Source organism: Homo sapiens, chromosome 22 (assembly GCF_000001405.40).
Source record: "Homo sapiens chromosome 22, GRCh38.p14 Primary Assembly".
NCBI lineage: Eukaryota > Metazoa > Chordata > Mammalia > Primates > Hominidae > Homo > Homo sapiens.
Window position 1 is genome coordinate 33,253,323 of NC_000022.11, and position 24,611 is coordinate 33,277,933.

At 44.7% G+C, this 24,611-nt stretch overlaps 1 protein-coding gene across 24 annotated transcripts in view; it reads right to left on the reverse strand.

Moving 5' to 3' along the window:
* Window positions 1-24,611, reverse strand: part of LARGE1 (LARGE xylosyl- and glucuronyltransferase 1) — an 856,162-nt gene that overhangs the window by 186,660 nt on the left and 644,891 nt on the right. For 19 of the 24 annotated variants that reach the window (NM_001362953.2, NM_001362949.2, NM_001378627.1 and 16 more), the window contains 2 exons: window positions 23,738-23,933; window positions 19,187-21,302 (listed from right to left, as the gene is read on the reverse strand). The exons of the other annotated variants lie outside the window; for them this stretch is intronic. In NM_001362953.2, coding sequence (NP_001349882.1) covers window positions 21,105-21,302; window positions 23,738-23,933 — 394 coding nt within the window. In that variant the 3' untranslated portion in view covers window positions 19,187-21,104. Of the gene's footprint in view, window positions 1-19,186; window positions 21,303-23,737; window positions 23,934-24,611 lie in introns of those variants that run through there. 24 annotated transcript variants of the gene reach the window in all.

Sequence of the window (24,611 nt, forward strand, 5' to 3'; positions counted from 1 at the left end):
CCCTAAACTAATTAAAGAGTAGCACTATGTGTCTCAGAGGGTGAAAGAAGATGGAGGAACGCCTCTGAGACTGTAAGTATGTTGGGAGGAAACAGACTAGGTAAAGAACAGAGATTACATGGCTCATGCCTGTAATTCCAGCACTTTGGGAGGCCCAGGTGGGCAGATCACTTAAGGTCAGGAGTTTGAGACCAGCCTGGCCAACATGGTGAAACCCTGTCTCTACTAAAAATACAAACATTAGCTGGGTGTGGTGGCAGGCGCCTATAATCTCAGCTACTCGGGAGGCTGAGGCAGGAGAATCGCTTGAACCCGGAAGGTGGAGGTTGCAGTGAGCCAAGATTGCACCATCGCACTCCAGCCTGGACGACAGAGCGAGACTCCATCGCAGGAAGAGCAGCACCTCGTGCAGCACTCTAGAGTAGTATCTGAGGATGGGGCTGCACCTCGGAGGGGAAGGCTGCCTCCTTAGTCTGAGAAAGCAGGGCCTGGCTGGCATACTTTGCCAAAGGTTCCTATGCCCAGGGGATGGTGGGTATGACCAACACTGGTAGCTCCTTCCCAATTTTCATTCTTTCCTTCTTGGTTTTTTTTTTTTTTTAGTAAAAGAACGCTAAATCTTTAGCTTGCCACCTATGTAAAAGACTGCACTTCCCAGCCTCCTTTTAGCAAGGTTTGGTTATGTGACCAAGTTCTAGCCAATAAGATGCGTGGGAATAAGTGAAAGCTACCCAAAGTGGGAGCAAACAGGCTGTTTCTTCAGAACTTGCTACAGCAATGAAAGCAGCCACTACCACGTGCATTTGGCAGGGACTCAAAGGCAGGCCAAGGAGTAGGAAAGCTTATCACGAAAAAAAGAGGAAGGCTTCAGGAGTGCTCCTATTGAAGGTTTTTGGCCTGGGGAAGCTGGAGGTGGGCTAACTAGAAATGGGACATGGTGTGTGACTGGACTGGGGAGCATGTTTGGATTTCCCTCGTTGGGCCTGTGTTGGAAGCAGGGGACAAAAACTAGGACAGCTGGCAGTCTTTGAGCAAGCTCTGACAATAGTAGGCCCATTGTTGAAGAGGTTGTGGTTTGGTTGGTTGCTACAGAGGTTGTGGGTCAGAGTTCCATTGTCAGATATGGTCTGGCCATTGTCTATTTTATATACAGTTTCTCCGTGCTAAGCAAATGTGCTACATATCACTGTGGGGACATCTCCTTTCAAAGAAGGGATAGCTAAGGCTATAGACTCCAGAGCCAGAATGACTCAGTTTAAATTCCAGGTCTGCCACTTACAAGCTGTGTGACCCTGAGCAAGTCACCCAACCTCACTGTGGTTCAATTTCCAATTCTTAAATGGGACAATAATAGAACCTGCCTCACTGGGTTGCTAGAAGAAGTAATGAAATAATATGTAAAGCACTTAGGACAGTCTCTGGTCCATAGTACTTACTAGGTTTATTGATAGTATCATTCTTCTTCTCTTTCTCTACTTGGTCTGTAGTTCAAGGTCCTTAAACTATCTTGGACCTTGAAGCAGAATTCTGATGCTGGAGGTGGTGACATAAAAGGAGCTCATATCTAATAATCTCACAGTAACTGTTCCAGCTCTGCATGGTCTACCTGTAGATTTTTTTTTTTTTTTTTTTTGAGACGGAGTCTCACTCCGTCACCCAGGCTGGAGTGCAGCGGCGAGATCTCTGCTCACTGCAACCTCCGCCCCCCAGGTTCAAGCAATTCTCCTGCCTCAGCCTCCCTGGTAACTGGGATTACAGGCGTCTGCCACCACACCCAGCTAATTTTTGTGTTTTCCGCAGAGACGGGGTTTCACCATGTTGGTCAGGCTGGTCTTGAGCTCCTGACCTCAAGTGATCCGCCTGCCTCGGCCTCCCAAAGCGCTGGGAATACAGGCGTGAGCCACCGTGCCTGGCCCGGGAAGTAAACTTCTATCTTAGTTGAGTCATTGGTATTTTAACTTTCACATTCAGTAATATAGAATCCTTTCTCATATAGCAGGAAAGGAGTAGAGCTGCTAGATCTGAAATGCAGACTAAAACAGCAGGAAAAATGGAACAACGCGTGGACACTCTGGACTGCTGACCAAATGCTGGAGAGGCTTCCTCTGCTCTCTGGTATCCTCTTGGATGAAGTTGGGTGAGGATGTCTCCAAAACAATCAAAATTTTGTGTCCCTCCAGCCTGGCAAAATGAGAGCATCAAACCCAGATGTAAGTTGATTTTAATAAAAGAAAGCCATTCAATATTCTCGTATATCTGAGTTTGTTGCTTGAGATTCACAACAAGCTACACAGGCTTAGCTGCCCTTAGGTTTTTTAATTTGTCCCAGAAACCTTTAAATGCATTCCTCTTTATTTGATTTTTTAAGTTAACTCAAAGTGAATTTGTTACTTGCACCCAAAAGGACCCTACCTAAAACATAGGTTCTATCTGTGCAGCCACATTCATTTCTGAAACTATCTTCTTTTATCTCTGGCTAGGAATGTTTTAAATCATATTGTCAGACTCATTTTGAGGGTCCTGTTATCCAACTTGAGGTGTTTTGCTTTTTTGAAGAGTCAGTTCCCGGGATCAAGTTCATATTTCACTTCCCGTTTGACAGCTGCATTATCAAAGTTTAGCGCCTGGGGTTTCCTCTCTTCACCCCCTGCAGATTCCATGCTGACCTGTTTCTTTCATTTCCTCATCATTTCCAGGCAACCAGTCAGTTGTCCCTTATTGATCTAAATCAAGTCCAGAATGGCAGATCTTGCTGCTTCCTCTGCCAGCCGAGCAGGGAACTGTCAGCAAGACAAGCCAAGAATTTATCAGCTGTAATTCTTCCTGCAGAATTGGTCTACCTAGAGATGTATAGCTCTTTCAATCTTTCCAATGTGGTTTTGCACATCTGGAGGACGATAGAAGAGATTCTCAGGCATGGTATGAGTACCATCTATGGGGAATGTCTGTGTTATTTAAACCATTCACAGAGCCAGCGTTCTTTGAAATGGGTTGACTTTTAAATAAACCGAAGCCGAAAGTTGCAGAAAAGTTGAAAAGAACACAGAGAGAAATGGGCACCAGGAGTGTGAAACTTAAACCTCCCGCTCTGCCACTAATTCACTGTAATCCTGGGCAAGCCATTTTAACCTTCTAGGCTTTACTTTTCTCATCTGTAAAATGGGGATAATTAATCTCTTTTCTGGATAGCTTGCAACATTGGCTGGTAAAGTGCTTGGGAACATAATAATGTATAATATTGCCATGACCTGAATATGCCAACAATGCCAGACTTCCATTCCCATATTAATTATTGTTCCAGTCATGCATGTGGAAGAAGAAAGAAAAGTAGCATCTATTCAGCACCAAGTAGGTACCAGGCACTATGCTAAGGATGTTACACATGCATTTTCATTTCACCTTCACCCTAGCCTCATGCGGTCTGTATCAACTCACATATTTCTCTTCATTTTGTTCATATATTCATTTTGCAGACAAGACTCAAAGAGTTTACATGATTAGTTACCCACAGTCTCAGACTGGTAAATTTCAGAGACAAAATTCAAATTTCTGGGTTTACTCCAAAGCTGGTGATCACACAGATCATTAAAAATGGAGGTGAGGCCGGCTGTGCTGGCTCAAGCCTATAATCCCAGCACTTCGGGAGGCCAAGGCAGATGGATCACCTGAGATTGGGAGTTCGAGACCAGCCTAACCAACATGGAGAAAACGCATCTCTACTAAAAATACAAAATTAGCCGGGCGTGGTGGTGCATGCTTGTAATCCCAGCTACTCTGGAGGCTGAGGCAGGAGAATCGATTGAACCCAGGAAGTGGAGGTTGTGGTGAGCTGAGATCGCACCATTGCACTCCAGCCTGGGCAACAAGAGCAAAACTCCGTCTCAAAAATAAACAAACAACAACAACAACAACCAAAAAAACAGGTGAAGGCTGGGCACTGTGGCTCATGCCTGTAATCCCAGCACTTTGGGAGGTGGAGGTGGGTGGATCACTTGAGCCCAGGAGTTTGAGACCAGACTAGGCAACATGGTGAAATCCCATCGCTACAAAAAATACAAAAACTAGGTGGCACACACCTGTAGTCCTAGCTACTTGGAAGGTAAAACAAAAACAAAAACAAAAACAAAAACAAAAACAAAAAAACAAAAAAAAGGCAGGGGGGTGGGAGGGAATGAGTAGCTGGAATTCCAAGTTAATCTTAAAGAAGCCATTTTCTCTTGGCTGTGAGGAGGAAGTAGACCTCCCTAGGAGATAACGCATCTGCCCAGAGGACACAGAAAGCCTTTAAATAGCCCTTAACGGGATAGGAGCAGGAAGGGCTTTAGAAATCATCTCAACCAACTCTCCCATGTTAGGGACGAGGAAGAGGAAGCTCAGAGAGGGGAATAAGTTGCTCAAGAATGAGCAGCTGTGGAGAGGTGGGTTTGGGAAGAGAATCTACATTCACTCATCCACCCATTCATTTAACAAATATCTATTTAGGACCTACTACATGTTAGGAACTGGAGCTACTCTGGTGAATAAAAACAGTTCCAGTTCTTACCCATATGTAGAAGTCACAGCCTTGAGAGAGAGGTAGTCATCAAACAAATCACTGCACAAACAAATGTGAAATTCAGCAGTGACCCATGTTAGGAAGGAGAAGTACTTGGTGCTGTGAGAGCATAGGTTGGGGGGATTTACCTGGATGGGGGGATCAAGAAATGTATATATATTTTTTTGAGACTACAGAGTCCTGCTCTGTCCCCCAGGCTGGAGTGCAGTGATACGATCTTGGCTTACTGCAACCTCCACCTCCCAGGTTCACCGCGATTCTCCCTGCCTCAGCCTCCCAAGTAGCTGGGATTACAGGCATCCACCACCACGCCCGGCTAATTTTTGTATTTTTTAGTAGAGATGGGGTTTCACCATGTTGGCCAGTCTGGTCTTGAACTCCTGACTTCAGGTGATCCACCCACCTTGGCCTCCCAAAGTGCTGGGATTACAGGTGTTAGCCACCATGCTCAGCCAAGCAATGCATTCTTGAGGGAAAGATGCTAGAACTGAGTGCTGAAGAATGCCTGAGAGGTTGCTGGGTAAAGGAGCAAAGGCCATTTTAGGCAACTGGGTAGAGTGTGGTGTTAGATGCGGAGAAATGGAAGTGTCAGAGGCATTTGAATCAGAGCAACTCCATCTTGAGTGAGGACTAGGAACATGAGGCTGGGACTTTCTGGACTGCATTTCCAGAAAGTTCGGTATTTCTAGCCTCTAGATGTTTACGGTTAAGGGAACAAATTAATACATTTACTAAACAAACCCAGACTTGGGAGTGTCCTGATATCCCAATATCTTGAGAACAGAGGCATTCCTAATTTTGTTTTAAAGATAATATCAATTCTTGCAAAATATAGTAACTAATATAGTAATTAAGAAAATTTGCTTTTGCTTTGTATCGTGGACTCACTCTGATTCCTTTACCTCTCTTGGGGTCTGGATCGGGACCCCTTTCCTGTAACAGCAGGAGAGAACAGAACCTGCAGCACCATGTAGGCCTTGATATAAACTTTATGTTTCTTCTTTTTTTTTTTTTTTCCAAGACATAGTCTTGCTCTGTCATCCAGGCTGGAGTACAGTGGCACGATCTTGGCTCACTGCAACCTCCACCTCCCAGGTTCAAGCAATTCTCCTGCCTCAGCCTCCTGAGTAGCTGGGATTATGGGCGCCCGCCACCACACCTGGCTAATATATTTGTATTTTTAGTAGAGACGAGATTTCACCATGTTGGCCAGGATGGTCTTGAACTCCTGACCTTGTGATTTGCCCGCCTTGGCCTCCCAAAATACTGGGATTACAGGCATGAGCCACTACACCCGGCCAACTTTATCTTTATTCTAAGAAATGCTGAAGGGTTTATCTGATTCCTGTTCCCATTCCTTACCTTTAACCACATTGACAATGTTAAGGACAAGTGAGAGAGAAGGCAGATTCAATTACTATCCACGAGAAATCCAAAGGGCAACACACACACACACACACACACACACACAAACACACACATGCACGGACACACACACACATACACACACAGACACTTAGGAAAAAAATTCCTTCACTTTTTTGCCACATCGTAGTTTTCTAGCAACCTGGCTGGTCAACTGCCTTCCATTTCTCTGCAAGCCTGATTTGTATGTGCACAGTACGCGTGTGTGCATGGACACACACACACACTTTACATGCATATCTTCATCTTAGCAAACAATGTCTTGACATTTCTGATACAGGAACTACAGAGCTTATTCTGATTAATCTCATTAAATTCCAATTAGTTTACCCACTTGGGTCATTGAATCCACAATTACTTGCTGTCATGATGCTGAAAATAAGGCCCATCCTGGCTTCTCCAAATGATGACAATTCAATGGTGAGGTCTCTTCTGGTGTGATGAAGTTCCACTCTCTGCTTCCAGAAGTTAGAGAAGACCCAGGAGTGCCATTCTTAAGCCACTTTGGAAGGTCTGTGCTGCAACCTGCCTGCCTTGTTGAATGTTGCTCTTCCGTATCTACCACATGCATCTGGTATTTTGACATCTGGGGTCTTGCTGACCCTGGAGAGACTGGCCCTCCCAGGTCTGGCCAATTTGCGTTCCATATGCAAATTAACCAAGCCCATGCTTATAACCACCCTCAACTCCCATTATCGAGCAGTTTCACTTTGGGCCATTATTCCCTTGCTATAAACATACCAGGTACCGAGCAACTAGAGATCACCCTTACACCAAAGAGCCCACTGAAATTATTCACACTAGCCAATCCTAAGCCTGTTTATCCTACCTCACCTGCTCCTTCCCACTGAAACCCCGCAAAGCCTCTTGCCCACATTTTCTTCCCACCCCCCTGCCTCCTGACCCACCCTGGCGCTTCCCCTGTGGCCCTGTAAGGCGTGGCATGCCCCCTCCTCTCCTCTGGGGAACGGTGCGTAACAAACTGCCTTTTCAACGGCATCCCTAAATAATAAAACCAACATTTAAAAACACCTTCCTCAGACTCTCTTCTTTCATTTGCTTCTGAGAAATCCCACTTGAAAGCTCTCTGGCCTCCCTGGCATGTGCTAGCTGGAAGGCATGGGCTTTGGGGTCTGGCTGACCTGAGCTGACAGCTCCACTGTGCCCCTTTCCAACCGCTGGGCTGTGAGTCTCTTATGTCACCTTCTCGACCCATCTGGAGAAATGAGGATCACAGCGTCTATTTCATAGGGTTTGCCTGGGGATTAAATGAGATAATGCCGGCCATGCATCTAGCAGAGGACCTGGGACAGCGGTTTGCTGAACCCACATTCGTTGCCTTCAGTGAACCGAGAGCCTCCTTTGCTGTCTGCCTCTGCCTGCCAGTTTTATTGTTCAGTCACGCAGGAATCTTGAGAAAACCCGTGGAAGATTTATTGTAAGCTTTTCAACCTTTGCTTCCTTTATTTGTTAACCTCCATCCAACCAGAGCGTTTTATTTTCCCCTTCATAAGCCCCTTGCAGGCTCTGGCAGGTTCTGAAAGAGCACTTTTGATGAACTGCTTGGACCCAGCACTCATCCTGGCTGCTCTCTCTTGCTGATGGCTCATTGAAGAGTGCTCCAAAGAGCACAGAATTGGAAAACGGCACATCCCCACCCCAGAAATGTCAGGGTTTTCAAAATGAAATGCCAATGAATTGCCCAAGGGAAGAACCATGCCTGGCATGACCCAAAGTAACAGCAGTTCAGTCTCCGGAACATTATGGAATTTCAGTCAACACTCATTCAGCATGCGTGTACCAGCACCCCTTCGTGCTCGCCTGTGTGCCAAAGGTGGGAACACAGTGGTGAACAAGACACGGTCCTTTCTCTCAAGCAGTGCCCAGGTTAGCCTGAAGAGAGGAGGGTGGTGGAGGTTACTTATTGTGACAGCTAGAGGCTTCTCCACACAGTGCTGTAGCTGACATTCTCATGGTTTCGCTTTGTTTATCTATTCTATCTTTACGGAAGCTTTGCCATGTTTAAACTTCCAGAGAGCAATGAGAATGGAGGCTTCTGGAAGTGCTCTGGGGCCCTGTCTCAGGCTCCCCTCTCTTCTTTACCTATGCTCACTCCTTAGACGATCTTATGCTGCCTCTACCAAAGGCACGTGGGCCATTTTTCTGTGTCCCAAATTCAAATTGTAATTCAAACGTGGCTCTCAGAAGAATAGCATGTGTGAAAATCTTGTTTCTTTTATAAAAGGTATGAAAAGGAAAAATAAGTGAACAAAAACCAAGACATAATACAAAACAAAAATCAAAAAAGAAAAAAAAAAAGACCAAAACCAGCACTAAACCCTGTATTTGATTCCAGAAGTTGAGGAGGGTGAATTATACTGACTTTCTGTTAGTGTGGGGAGGTGTGAAGAAAATGAGACTCAGAATCAGAAGACAATGACTGCTCTGCTAATGAGTTTAGAAAATAATGCTCTTTTTGCCTGTTTTCTCATCTCTGAAATGACTGCTTCTCTCTGTAGTAGAGAATCAAACTCTACAGCAACCAGTTGCAGTGCTGCCTGTGATGTTTGCTCTCAGCTCTTAAGATCAATGCCTCAGAGGAATCTCTGTTGCAGGAATGCTCATAAGAACTAAACTCTTGGCTCTCTTTTCCCACTTAGTGAAGCACTACAGCTGAACAAGAGAAAAAAATAACGGATAAAGAAAGAGTTCTCTAGCAAACGATGCCATGTATTGATGGGGTGTTTGGAGTTGACAAAGTATCGTAAACACTCATGTTAGCGCCTTTGATCTCCACGAAAGCCTTAAAAGACGGGCAGGATTTCTTCCTTTTTTATAGGTGAGCAAACAAGGGCAAAGATGTAAACTGGCTTCACCGTCACCCGGCTGTTCAGTGGTGAGTAGAGACAGTGGTTCTGGCACATCCGGCTTCAAGAATGGAGCTCTCATGCCCAGGCCTACCACTTCCTAAAAGAACTCCTGGAAATTGTCCCTTCTCCTTTGATTTCAGTCAAACCCTTTCTGGGAGTACACGGAACAGTTAGGAAAGTCCCATTCCTTTCTGTTGAAAGCCCCATAGCCAGTCATCACTGTGGTTGCTGGTGCTACGACTGGGCCTCCTGCAGCCAGGGGACACAGGCTAGAGAGGGCCCCGGGTGCCTATCAGTGGCCCCAGACCATTGCTCTTCCTGAGCACACCTGCCGCTCATGCCATCTTGCCTCCTCATGAACTGTTTCCTCTGCTGGAAGATCTTCAGTGCCCCCACCTGTCAATGTTGGACTCAGAGTCACCTCCTTAGGAACCGTTAACTGATGCCCAGCCTGGTCAGGCAGCCCCTCCACACTCCTGCAGTACTCTATTACGCCTGCCAGTCAGGATGATAACCAATGATCTCATTCTCTTTCAGGGACAGTGGGCTCCCTCTGCAGACATCCTTTCTTTCCTTCTTTCCTTCCTTCCCTTCCCTTTCCTTCCTTCCTTCCCTTCCCTTTCCTTCCTTCCTTCCTTCTTTCCTTCCTGACTTCCTTCCTTCACTCCCTCCCTCCTTTCTTTTTCTTTCTTCCCTCCCCTCCCCTCCGCTCGCCTCCCCTCCCCTTCCGTTCTTTCTTTCTTGGAGTCTCACACTGTTGCCCAGGTTGGACTGCAGTGGACTGATCTCAGCTCACTGAAACCTCCATCTTGGGGGTTCAAGTGATTCTTCTGCCTCAGCCTCCCAAGCAGCTGCGATTACAGGCACGCACCACCATGCCCAGCTAGTTTTTTGTATTTTTAGTCGAGACGAGGTTTCACCAGGTTGGCCAGGCTGGTCTCGAAAACTCCTGACCTTGTGATTCGCCACCTCAGCCTCCCAAAGTGCCGGGATTACAGACATGAGCCACTGTGCCCGGCCGACATCCTTTCTTTGACCATAAATTCCTATCAGAATTCCTCTCTGTGTCAGACTTGTAAGAGGACCTCCAAGATTCCCAAGCCCTGCTGTATCTCCCTATATAATCTCTCTGTGAAGATGAGCAGGACCTGGGAATACGATGGGATATCACGCATGTGATTATGCTGTGTTATAGAAGACTCAGGTTGAGCAGGATGAAGGGAGAAGTGCTCTTGCTGGCTTTGAAGAGGTGAGCTGCTATGTGGCAGAGAGGACTCCTTTGCAGGGAGTGGTGTGTTCTCTCTAGGAGCTGAGAAAAGTCCTGGGTCAATAGCCATGTAGAGAGCAGAGCTCTCAGTCCTGCAACCCACAAGGAACTGAATTCTTCCAACAACCAATGAATTTGGAAAAGGAAGTCAAGGCCCAGAGGAGAACCACAGCATGGCTGACACCTGCATTCAGCAGCCTTGCAAGAGCCTGAGCACAGGTCTGCCATAACTGGTACCTGGACTCCTGATCCATGGGAACTATGAGATAATACATGCGTGCTGTTTGAAGCCACTTCATCTGTGGTAATTTCTTACACAGCAGTGGAAAACAAATACACTCCCCATGGACATGAAATGCACGATGAAGGACCTGTTACAACTGGATGCCATTTCATCTCCCATCAGGGATGCAGAAGAGCACAGCGGTTAAGAACGAACTCTGGGGTTGAGCTACCTGGGTTCAAATCTCAGTTCTGCTACTTACTGTTATGACTTTGGGCAAATTACTTAACTTCTTTGTGCTTTGATCTGCCCCTCTGTAAAATGGGTCTAGTAAAAGTATCTATCTGAACTAACTTACCATAGAACTTACTAAATGTAAACGCTTAGAACTATGACTGAAGCATAGCAAGGACTGCCCAAGTGCTTGCTAACATAATTAGCAAATCAACTGAATTTGTGTTTACAAACACAGAAGATCAACTCCTTCATATTATAGACATGGAAACTGAGCTCCAGGGAGAAGTGTCTTGTTTAAGGCCAGAGGGACAAGGCTAGAGGGATAGGTCTAGATTCACAAACTAAATTTAACCGTGAAGGTAAAGGCTCTGGGAGTCCATAGGATAAAAAGTCTCATCCTAATCCATTCATGAAGAAATCAGGCCTAAATCAAAGAAGGCAGTTTCAGGCTTCTCCATAGGAGGCACACAACTTAAATTAGGTTTGTAGTGGCTCACGCCTGTAATCCCAGCACTCTGGGAGGCCAAAGCGGGTGGATCACTTGAGGTCAGGAGTTGGAGACCAGCCTGGCCAACGTGGTGAAATTCCTGTCTCTACTAAAAATACAAAAATTAGCCCACTTGGTGGCACACACCTGTAGTCTCAGCTACTTGGGAAGCTGAGGCAGGAGAATCACCTGAACCCGGGAGGTGGAGGTTGCAGTGAGCCGAGATTGCACCACTACACTCCAGCCCGAGCGACAGAGTGAGACTTCATATCAAAACAAAACAAAACAAAACAAAAACTTAGTTTTGCCTTTTTGCCTTTTCCTTCTGGTGCAACAAAGTCTCTCTGCTTGATGAAATATTAGATGAACTCTAGTGAGCTCTCTTTCCAACTAGACCTTATCACTGGGCGCTGTCATCTTCAGCCTGCTGAGTTCAATTTTAACAAGAATCCTGCTAAGTCATTTTAGAGGAAATCTCTCCCCTTTGACATCTGATCAAATTCTTTTTTTTTTTTTTTTTTTTTTTTGAGATGGAGTCTCGCTCTACTGCCCAGGCTGGAGTGCAATGGCACGATCTCAGCTGGGCTCACTTCAACCTCTGCTTCCCAGGTTCAAGTGATTCTCCTGCTTCAGCCTCCTGAGTAGCTGGGATTACAGGCATGTGCCACCATGCCTGGCTAATTTTTTTTATTTTTAGTAGAGATGGGGTGATTTCACCATGTTGGTCAGGCTGTTCTCAAACTCCTGACCTCAGGTGACCCTCCCATCTCAGCCTCCGAAAGTGCTGGGATTACAGGCGTAAACCACCATGTCTGGCCTGATCAAATTCTTTATACCCCACCTTTGGGGTCTAAGTTCTTGGACTGCCTCTAGCAATAATCCTGGTAAGTCAGTTTAGCAAGAACCAAGCAACCCTTGATGTGTCCTCTGAATAATTTTGCATCCACTGACCCCCTCATTCCACTGGTTGGCTATCCATCTCCAGCTATCCTTGCTGTATTCAGAGCTGAATCCAAGCGCTCTCTCGTCTTGACACCTATTGTGGCAATAGTCCTGAATAGAGTCTCACTTACCGTTTTAACAGGTGTTAGAATAATTTTTTCCTTACTAGGTGTCATCTGTCTTAGAAGCCTTCCATGATCCCCGGCCTGGAGTGAGCACCCTTCTCCCAAGCTCCCATCACATCCTGGGCACCACTTCCCTTTACCAGCCTGTACGTCACTACTCACACACCCATCTGCCTCTCATGAGGGCAAGGATAGTGTCTTATTCATTTTTGAATAATTATCAGCTGGCACAGCTGTTGGACCCCCAGCAACTATTTTAAAAAATGAACCAATCACTTGTTTACAGGAGGGTTTCTGTAGTGTCTAGTGGTGAATGCCAGACACGCTGTTAAGGCTCCATAAATATCTGGAAATAAGGGGATTCTTAAAGGTGTAAGGAGACAGTGTTATGTGTGGTCCTCTGTATCACAAGGGGGTTCGTTAGAAAATGCAGAATCGCAGGCAGCACCAACAGAGTCAGACTTTCCTGAGACCCTCACAAACGATTCATATACACATTCAAGTGTGAGAAGCACTGGTACAGGCCAAGAAAAGATAAATTCCCCAAGGACTAGGCATATTCTGGCTACTAAAGTCCTTTCTAAAGCAAAGATTCCTTAATCTTGTGTTTATCTGAATCCCTAGGAAACTATCAAGACAATTGAAAACATGAGAATATAAGATGGGATAAAAATCAGTAAGCAAGAACTCAATAGGGAAAAAAAAAAAAGAATGAAAGCAAACATGAGCACTGGGGCCACGTGGGCCTAGGTCTGATTTTCAGGGCTTTTTTTTTTTTTTTTTTTGAGATGGAGTTTCGCTCTTGTTGCCCAGGCTGGAGTGCAATGGTGCTATCTCGGCTCACTGCAACCTCCACCTCCTCGGTTCAAGCGATTATCCTGCCTCAGCCTCCCGAGTAGCTGGGACTACAGGCACTCGCCACCATGCCCAGCTAATTTTTTCGTATTTTTAGTAGAGATGGGGTTTCACCATGTTGGTCAGGATGGTCTTGAACTCCTGACCTCAGCTGGTCTGCCTGCCTCGGCCTCCCGAAGTGCTGGGATTACAGGCATGAGCCACAGTGCCGAGCCAGGGCTCTTATTTAAAACCTCTCTGAGCTTCCGTTTCCTTATCTTTAACATATGGAGAATACTACATCGTGCTTCCCATTGCTGATTAAATAAGAAAATGTATATTGTCCAGCATATGTTTGTTCTCCATGACTCTCCAGCAGGAGTATGAAAAGGCTAAGACGCTAACTGAGCAGGGAACAGCTGGTCTGGCTGAGCCTACGTATGACGGGTTTGGGAACATCATATGAGGCCAACCAACAGACTCCTGTCTGCTGATTTACTCCATGCTCCCTGTCCTTATACCTCACATTCATTTCACTCCCATTCAGGAAGCTGTAGAGAACAGTCTTGGAGTCAGAGGAAAAAAAAAAAAGAGTTTGATTTGTGGCTTCACCAATTACTCAATCTCACCAAGCCTCAGTTTCCTCGTCTAGTAAATAATATCTTCTCATGGCCAGTCACAGTGGTTCATGCCTGTAATCCCAGCACTTTGGGAGTCCGAAGCAGGTGGATCACTTGAGGCCAGGAGTTCGAGACCAGCCTGGCCAACATGGCAAAACCCTGTATCTAGTAAAAACACAAAAATTAGCCGGGTGTGGTGGCGTTCGCCTGTAATCCCAGCTACTCAGGAGGCTGAGGTACAAGAACTGCTGGAATCCGGGGAGGCAGAGGTTGCAGTGAGCTGAGATTGTGCTACTGCACTCCAGCCTGGGCGACAGAGGGGACCCTGTCTCAAAAGAAAACAAATAAAACCCCAAAAAATCCCTTCTCTCATGGGAGTCCTGTAAGCTACGGAAGCAACAAATTTAGCACTCAGCGCCCAAGGGCTCCATTAATGGTAGCTGCGATTGCTTAAAGATAGCTCTGAACAATATTAGAACGTTGAAGGCAGATCTGTTGTCAAAGGACAGGATTACATCAAAGTCTTCCATCAATTTCTTTCTGCTGAATTAGACATGGGTTATGTTCAAATAACTCAGAGTTAATGAAATTGTGAAGCTCAGAATTGCCTTTCGCTTACTACAAGATGCACTAGACTGCAGAAGGCATCACTTACGTAGGTTTTCCTGGGATTCGGGGGTCTGAGAGTGATCAGCCGATTGTGACCCAGTACCCAGGGACCACCAAGAAAACAGAGGCATTTCTCAGAGACTTCTAAGTGGAGCTTTTTACCTTGAGGCCGATTGCTAGGCCGCTGCACATAAAGAGGCCTCTATGCGCTCCCATTGCATTGGTGCTGGAATCAGTAGGGTGACGCAGTTTTCTATCACTTACGTAGAAGATGTTTCTGATCTTCTCAATATTAAATGTTGATCTTAACATTCATGGGGAAAGGAACCAAGTCACTTAGTTTTACCTAAGTATTATATAATCTTTGGGGAGGGTGAAGATTCAAAGCTGGAATATTAATGAGCTAGATTATGTGGACCCATACATAATGGCAAAATTCAAGAATTTTTTTTTTTTTGAGACGGGGTCTTGCTCTGTTGCCCAGGCTGGAGTTCAGTGGCGCGATCTCGGCTCACTGCAACCTCCGCCTTCTGGGCTGAGGCGATTCTCCTCTCAGCCTCCCGAGTAGCTGGGATTATAGGCATCTGCCACTGTGCCCGGCTATTTTTTGTATTTTTAGTAGAGATGGGGTTTCACCATGTTGGCCAGGCTGGTCTGGAACACCTGGCCTCAAGTGATTCGCCTGCCTCAGCCTCCCAAAGTGCTGGGATTACAGGCGTGAGCCACCATGCCCGGCCCGCAAAAGTCAAAAATTCTTACATCGCCGTTTTGATGTATCTTTTCTCCTTGCATATCTGAGAAACTAAAAAAACTATGAAGGTTCACATTTATATCCACACATAATAAACACGCATTCTAACACAAAAAGCATTTCAACTGAAACTGATGAATATCTTAATAGCTGTTAAAAAACTTTTTTTTTTTTTTTTTGAGATGGAGTCTCACTCTGTTGCCTAGGCTGGAGTGCATGGCGCGATCTTGGCTCATTGCAAGCTCCGTCCCCCGGGTTCTCACCATTCTCCTGCCTCAGCCTCCCAAGTAGCTGGGACTACTGGTGCCCGCCACCACGCCCGGCTAATTTTTTGTATTTTTAGTAGAGATGGGGTTTCACCATGTTAGCCAGGATGGTCTCGATCTCCTGACCTCGTGATCTGCCTGCCTCGGCCTCCCAAAGTGCTGGGATTACAGGCATGAGCCACCGCGCCCGGCCTAGTTGTTATAAAACTTTTAAGCAGGTAGAAAATAATCACTTTCATTGTCTGGTAATAAGGCGACTAAGTTAGTGACATATTATAGTACACATTGCCTTAGGGACCCACATATTGAATCATCTCAGAAATGTATACATGTGGATGGTAAACCTTCTGAATCTGGCTTTTTAGCACTACTTGCCATAAAATTTTGTCACATAATATGCTATATAACATTAATAAACTCAAAAAATTACATATGCATACAGACATATGCATAGCCTTGTGTATGCATGTTTATTTTTCATTCAAAACACTGAACTAACAAAACAACTTCTGAATTTAACCCTTGTATTTTGGTTATACAAGACAATGTTATGTTTTAAAAAAATACACACTAAAGTATTTAAATTTAAAGGGGCATGGTATCTACAATTCATTTTCAAATGTTTGAGGAAAAAAACTATGAAGAGTATGTGGCAAAATGTTAACAAATGGTTAATCTAAATGTAAGGGATAAAGTTATTTGTATTATCCTTGCAATTTTCCTGTTAGTTTTCAAACTTACAGTTTCAAAAATAAATGAAACTAAAACAAAACTAAAACCGTTTCTGTGAAAGTCTTAAGGTGAAACCAGCCTTGGCATTATCTGTTTACTTTTCTGCTGTCTAATGAATTGCACTTACATGAAAGTAGACTGTACCTGGTTCACTGTTGCATTCATAATGTCCACCAATGAGTAGATGCTCAATACATTACTTGTGGAATTCAGAAAAAAATGATAAAAAGTGCAGTGAAATTACTGATGTCACTAGAGCCCTTATTTTCTTTCTTCAGCACCACTTACCCAGGAATCTGTCAAAGCTTTGCTCTCAGTGAGCCCTGTCAATCATTTCATGACATTGTCCTGGCCTCATTGATCAGATGGCCTTGGTACGACACCTTGGGAAACACTTTCCCAGAACTGCCTGACATTTTTTCATTCCAGAAGACATTATCTCTTAAGACTATATTAACCTGAGCCACCGGTGGCTCACGCCTGTAATCCCAGCACTTTGGGAGGCCGAGGTGGGCGGATCATGAGGTCAGGAGATCGAGACCATCCTGGCTAAAACGGTGAAACCCTGTCTCTACTAAAAATACAAAAAATTAGGTGGGCGTGGTGGCGGGCGCCTGTAGTCCCAGCTACTCGGGAGGCTGAGGCAGGAGAATGGTGTGAACCTGGGAAGCAGAGCTTGCAGTGAGCCGAGATCGCGCCACTACACTCCAGCCTGGGTGACAGAGCAAGACTCTGTCTCAAAAAAAAAAAAAAAAGACTATACGAATGTGTTACAACAAACCAATGACCAAATCCATTAAATATTCACAGTCAGAAACCCCACATTTTTGTGGCACCCCCATTACCTCCTTTTGGATATCACCAGTTATTTCTTGAAATTAAAGGACACTTCTTAAAAGGAGTTTTGTTAAATGAATGGAAACAAAGATCATGGTATATCCGACATTAGATCCTATGGGTCTGAAACCTCTTAGAATGCATATGGCAGATAAGTGACATTTCATAAACTTGAATGGCACTAAGCTGAATAATAAACCCTTAGGGTTAAAAAAAATGAGGAAAACGAAGTATATGAAGTACATGAAGATACGACTGTACAAGCCTCGCAGCTAAGCTGATTTCAGTATTGTATGGGAAGGCAGTAGCACATTTTAGTGGAAAGACAGGGGTTTTTGAAGCCAGCCAGATTTTGGTTCAAATTCTGGCATTCCATTAGCAGCCTGTGTGGTCTTGGGCAAGTCACATTAATTTCTCTGGGAGCTAGTTTTATTAGCTAAATAATGGGGATAATAATACCTCCCTTATTTTATAACATAGCTGTGAGGATCCATCATTGCCAACTACCATAGAAGTCTTGGTTCAATAAAGGGTAGTTCTTATTATCTCTACCAAGAGTGTGAAGGAGCTGTGTCTGAGAGGGGATTTGAATCACATTTCTTTCACTAACACAGAGCTCCCTAAAGGCCTGGTGACCACAAATGAAGCCTTAACTCAAAGACAGTAGAGTCTTTGAAAGGAACAGAATTAAAGTAGGGTCTGTCCTTTCATGATGGGGCACAAAGAGGCTATTAGTCAACTCAGCAAATATGTGCTCTGTAAATCAGCTCAACACATTCAGAGAGATCACTCTGAAGCAGCATGCTAAGTCAGGGTACAAGGGAGAGCTTAAAACTTAGTGTCTCTACCTGAGCCATGTAATCTAAGAAACAACCCAGGAGAAGCATTCAGAGAATCAATTACTATCCCCTAGAGTGGAACCCAGCTGTCTGAATATGATTATAGATCACCCAGGTCTATTTCAAATTAATTTTCAGGAAGTCCATGAGCATAGCAAGATTTGGCATATTTTAGGAGATTGCTGTCTGGACTGTGTGTGTTATTGGATGGATGTTGAAGGAAGAAGACTAGAAATCCAAGAATCTTCCTACATAGGTTCAAATTCTCTTGTCTGTCACTGTTTCATATCTGTTTCCTTCTTATTGGGAAAGGAAGTAGCATTGCAGGTTATGTGCCTTTGGATTCAAAGAAGTAGGATTTGATTTAAATTCTAGGTCTGCCATATATTAACCATGTGAATTTGGAGGAGTTACTTAATTACACAGAATGCATTCAGGTTCCCCAAGTAGAAATGTTAATATCCACTTTGCAGTTTTGCTCCAAGGGTTCGGTGAACTCATGCCTGCCAAAGGCTTCTGCACATAGTGGTTACTGAAAACATCTCAGTTCCCCTCCACACTGACTGTTAAGGGGACCAAATGAGGGAACCTTGTCCTTCCTCTCAACTGAAAGCCAAGATTAGTATTGGCTTATTTAAGCATGAAAACATCTGTGTGACACATTTAAAGGCCTGTTTTACCCCCCAGGGAATTGATGCAAAGAAATCAACATCTTTTGCAATTACCTCTGCCCAAATGGCTACAGCTCCCCACACATAAGCTGGGGCTGGCAGTGAACTGCTGCTCCCAGTGTAAGTTCTGGGAATGCAGGCTGCTGGCTCTGCGGACCTCAGCCTCCATTGGGTTGGCAGCCTCTCTGTTGAAGTTGGGCATCCGCCAATGTCTGAGCTCCAGCCTTCAGTGAGATTGGCTTACAGTGTAAGGCACCTGTCTTTGGGGAAATAGGATTTTCTCCTGTTGGTGTGAAGTATCAGTTTCTGGCCTTAATAAATTCACTGTACGTGAAGGTACATCATCTTCTAGTTTATGCCTATTGTGTAAAAATAATTAGCACCTTTCATTCTCAGAAGTGACCCGATTTAGATGACAAATTACATGGTCACCAGCTACGCCCATAAAAATGCAAGTGAAAGCAAGGTGGCTGGGCATGAGTCAGGGGCCAAGCAAAATTTTAAAAATAAAAAGGCTTTAGGGAATTAAAAATGGATTTTTAACATTGAGGAACCAGTGCTACCATCAGGTTTTCACTTGGCTCAAGTAGCTGGTAATGATTAATTCAAAACCTGTATCGGTATGTGTACATCTCCTAACAGTGGTCCTCTCTAGGGAAGGAGGAGAAATTAGTGAGTGCCTCTGTATCTGTGTATCTGTCTGTGTGTGCTTGTGTGTACACAGGGGAGAGAGAAAGTCAATGATATGCTGCTGGTAAATATTTAACAACTAGCTCTTGGGGATGGGGACAGAGGAATCACTGAACGTGGAAACTGGAAATATGCCCAAAAAGGCCTTGTGAGCATGTAGAAGCTGGCCTGGCACACCACTGAACAAATTGGACTTTGACATGTACTTTCAAAATTTTTGTTCTGCTTTATACATATATGTCACTTTTTATTTATAAATGCTTTGTATATAGGCTATATACTTGTATGCTCTGTCTACATATATATTTACATACATACATAAGCCTAGCTAGATCTATGCAAAAATTAGTCCTAATGGTAATTTTCCTAATTCTTGTATAAATTTCCGTGTAACATCCACTTGAGCATGTAACATCGTGAGTGATCTCACAAACCGGATTGCTATAGGGTCCCACATGACTACCAGGCCCAAGGATGGGATGTTCCCTTTACAATTGATTACCAGGATTTACCCTCCTAGCCCACATCTGGTAGAAGACAACATCTGGCTCCAGTGTTGAGAAAGATGCGGAATGGAAAACTTGAAGATGGTTTGAGTTAGAGACAGAGTGGGATCTAACTTCAGGCAAAAGGGGAAAAAAAAGGCTAAAGTTCAAATGATGAGAAAAATAGAATGGGGGAACAGAAAGTGTGAAGTTGCTGTTTATCCACTGCAATTTAGCTCTCTATGTCAAGGTGTGTCTCAGTAGCTTCCTGCAAGAGTGGGAGGGGAATGGGGAAGAAACAGTCTGTACTTTCATTTATTAAATGCAGCTTTCGCTGGTCACATTGCAACTCAATACAAACAGCCCAGCAGAGGGTAGGGCATTAACTCTTGTTCTCATCAATGTAAACACAATATTAATATTGAAGATTAAAGAAAATGGGTAAAAAGTCCAGTGTCTCCTCAATCTGTGTGAAGGTGAAGGTGGTTGCCTACCCTTGGACAGGTCCCAAAGGGAGACTGAGGTTGTCACCTCTTCCCATCCACAGTGAAGCAGGCAAGAACCAGAGGAACCCAATCACTTTCTTCCTGTAGGTCTCCAGATGGATACGTGAATCTTCAGAACTGGGCTTTCATGAATTATGAAAGTTCTTCGAAAGGCCTGAGAGGTTCGTACCTTGTGTGTGCACTGAAGTAGTTCCTTCAAAGCCCTTTCCCATGAATCAGTCACTGCCAATAGAAAATGTGACCGGTGTAAAACAGCCAGCCCTCGTAATTCCGCAGTCCCCATCGCTATAGCCCCTGGATTCTGGAGAGTAGGGAGTTCAAAGTCACGGGAGCCTCGGTGATCATCCTGAAGGAAGCTGCCCATGTTTAAATATCGGCCGAAGATGCTTGACCTCCTTCCTGGGCCACTGCTGATAGAGGGTGGTTGGTAGAGGCAGCTGATTTTCCTTTAGAGCCTCAAAGGATCAGATTTTCTATTTTGGATTGCCAGCCCCAAAAATAAACAAAACCCCCAAAGAAAAACAAAACAAAACAGGAGTGACTTTGGGGATAAGGAAACCCATCAACCCCACCTCCAGGACCCTCTGGTTACAATGTCCCCATTGGGTTTTTCCAAGTGGTTGGTTTAGATCATCGGTTTGCCCTCCGTTTGAATGCCCAGCTACATTGCAGGGCAAAGGGGAAAGTTTTCACTTAATAAAGACAATTTCACTTCTATTTCCTGGGACGAATAACCCCTAGAACCCTGACTTCCCTTTCTCCCCAGTTATGATGGGAAGCATAATTATTAAAAAGCATCCAGAACATCCTAAAGCCCTGCCCTGATCTTGTGGCTTTGCAGTAAGATGATAACCCTTTTACTCCCTGTCACCCCTTGATTTCCCATTCTTGAAGAGACTCATCTAGGTGGGCTGCATAGCTAACCTCTGGGAATGCAGGGTTGTGGGGCAGAGAGGGACTGGCTGGATCCTTGTCCAAGGTCTCTGTAGTGAGGGCAGCTTGGCTGGGCCAAAGAGATAAATAAAAACAAACCGAAAAAGCATGGCTCAATTTTGAATTTGAAGGCCGGGCCCCAAACAGCGAGTGGCACTTCCCCTACAGCATGTCTCCCCCTAGTGGTGGGCTTCTTGGTGCTAGCTGTTGTTCTCGGCTGTGAGATATTTCAGGGCAGCAAAGCCGTAGCGGCGGGACATGTCCTGCTGAAACTCTTCCTTGAGGGTTTTGAGACAGATGCGGTATTGCTTGTTGGAACGGAACTTGGTAATGTCGAAGCTGGGGGCATGAGGCATGTGGATCATGTAGGCGTTGGGCAGCACAATGAACTCATACTCCTGGAAGAAGACAAGAGCAGCGTGAGAACCCGCAAGAGCCGAGGGTCATGCATGATGAAGGCCCAAGCGAATGATTGAATGGCTAGTGAATGAATGACTTGATAATGGCACCCACAAGCAGATGGCAAAGGACAGCACAACAGCTTTGGAGTGGGGTAATTCAGGGCTGTTTCCATGACCTTGGACCAGGAAACTGGCTTCTCTGAGCCTTCATGTTCTCATCTATAAGGTGAAAGTAATAATATTCTTGAATGATGACCATGACGGAGAAGCCAATACTGTATAAACAGTGCTGAGCCGAGCTCATGGCCTAGAAAAGGTTTCTTGATAAATAGATGTGAGCTCACACCCACATGGACAGTCTAGGATGACACACGCCATGGGATATTCTCTTGCTCGATTAACTGACATCTGTTTATGATTCCTCATAGGACTTGATGCGATCTGACAGTCTCAACAGATGAGTGCAAAAGAGGGTACAAAACAGGAATGAGAGACCAGATGAAATAAAAACAAGTATTTTGCTGGACCTAAGCTCACCAAGAACAAACCTCTCCCTGACACATCTTTATCGCAGGTCACACTGTCACCCAGTATTCTCAACTTGGCAGAATACAGCTTAATACTCAGGCCAAAAATAAAAGGCCTCTGAATAGCCAAAACAGGTGACCCAGATTTAGGTCATATCGCTTAGAGGAGAACTCAGCACACTTTTACTCAGATCTATTTACTCTCATTTTGGACATATTGTCTGACAAGCTTTTGTTATCTAGTTTCCCAGCTCAGAGCAGATAAGAATAAACTCAGGGATAACTGGGATGGGGAAAGGCGGCTGTTTTAGGTAGAACAATACAACAGCAGCAAGAAAAGACAGTTGCTGGTGAGGAATGAGTGAGAAAAACCATCAAAAGAAAATGCAAGATCTCCCAGAGCTGAACTGTCTGGGACATTTAATGGAGGGACAAAGAACCCCACCAACCGCACTAGCCCCATGGGTGTGGGTGTTAATACCTGGCAGGTGTGCACTCATTATTTCCTTAAGGTACTGGAAAAGGTTAAGAGTATGTCTGGGACATGCTATTCGCAAAGAAAAAAAAGAAAATATGCAACGTATTTTCAAGAATTCTGTCAAAACTGTCCAAAACAAACAAAGCCCAGGTCTCATGGCTAGAAAAATTAACTTTCTTTGAACTAGTTCATCTCACAGCACTGCTGGACACATGAACATGACATTCCTTTTAAGCAGAAGCTGAGGCTGACTGAACACTGTTGTCTGTGAGTGGCACTCTGCTCATTCAAAGTATTATAAAAAATATGGATACTGACAGCCCTGCTTTCTGTTGTTAAATATGGACATGATTCTATAACCTATCTACATCAGTGTTCTCAACCCTAACGCCTCTCAATCACCTGGGGCTGTTCTCAAACATATTGGAACTATTGGAAGGAAAGTTCTCCTGGTGATTCTCATGAACGGCCAGCGCTCAGTATCCAACCTTAGCTTTTTCTGAATTGGAGGTGCTCTTGTTGAAAAATATTTGCACTGTGCACCAGGAGGAGAGATCTTGGAGAAGAGCATACAAAAGAAAAGAAAAGAAAAAAAAAAAAAGGCTGGAGGGACCGAGGAATCCTTCTTCTAATTTAACCAGAGCAGTTTTGCTTTTGTTTGTTTAACACAGGGGCTGAAAAATTGAAGCATGTCTGGTCCATTTCATGTTTTTGTACACAAAGTTTTATTGAAACAGCCACACCCATTTGTTTAAAGACTGTAAGACTGAACTACAATAGCAGAGTTAAGTAGTTGAAAAGGAGACCTGTAGGTCCCATGAAGCTCAAAACACTTACTATCTGGTCCTTTACAGAAAATGTGTGCTGATCCTTGGTTTCACCTACTAGAATTCTGTAGAAGATTCATACTTTGAAGTAGGAGCTCAATACGTATCAGTTGGATGAATGAAGGAGTTCGTGATTAAACACAGTCTCAAAGTCGCCACTCTTTTAGTAATGATGGATGCATCTATTAATCTTTTAGTAAAGGGTGGAATAACTAGCTGCATCTTAGCAGCATGCTTTGTCATGTATATGGAACTCTAAGGATGCTTCGTGTCTGTTACGTGACTCAAAGACCAAGTGATGAATGGTCACATTTGCTTGTCTTCATCATCAGGTTGGGTGAGGATGAGAAGATGAAATGGTTTGTCACAGGAAACTCACATTTACCTGGGTCCTGGCCAAGAACCCAACTCTCACCCAAGGGTTGAGGAAGGAGCAATGGTTTGGGATCAAGAGCCCAAGGATCAGTACTACCACTGGTCCTCAAGCATATCTTGTTCCCTCTTAGCTCTCTGCTTTCTTGTCTCCAAGGATCCCTTAAGCTCTAGGATCTAGGCCTCTCCCCCGTCGACCATACCAGGTGGATGCTCCGTTCTTCTCACCTGCACATCCAGCTCCATGATATGAGCCACTTTGTTCCAGCCAAAGCCTACAAACCTCCGGTCGTACTCCGGGCAGTCACGTCTCACAACAACATACGGCTCAAAATCGGCCTCCCACTCAACCCGGTAAGGCGTGGTGGCGGTCCGCCACTTGGCGAAGTTTGTGGGTGCGTGGCCTTTCGTCCAGACGTGGTACCTGAGACACACGGAGAAAAGCCATTGGGTGTAGGGAAGGAAGCCAAGCTCTCCAAATGCAGCCGATGTGGAGGAAGAAGGGGTGTACACTGATGTAGTCCTCGGGTGAGTTGAACTGTCTCCCTCCCAAAAGCTATGTTGAAGTCCTAACCCCCAGTACCTGTGAATGGGACCTATTTGGAATCAGGATCTTTGCAGATATAATGAGGTTATCATGAGATCACAGTGGATTGGGGTGGCACTAATCCAATATTTGTTGTCCTTATAAGAAGGGGAAAATTTAGACACAGAGACACACAGCAAGAATACCATGTATAGACATTGGGAGAGATTGGATGACGGGTGCATCTATAAATCAAAGATTGCTAAACACTGCTGGCAATCACCAGACGGAGGCCTAGGACCTCAGGGAAGAAGCATGGACCTGCTGACAGCTTGATCTTGGACTTCCGGCCTCCAGAATTGTGAGAGAATAAATTTCTATTATGTTAAGCCATCCAGTTTGTAGTATTTTGCTGCAGCAGCTGCAGGAAACCCTAATCCCATCTGCTATCTGCACATTTCACTAACGAGGAGATTCTCACTATGAAAAGGAACTCCTGGAGGGCTCCATGTCATTTCTCAGGAATTGACTGCAGGTGAGCTTGTGTAGTGATTGCTGCCAGACTGTGGTAGGAGT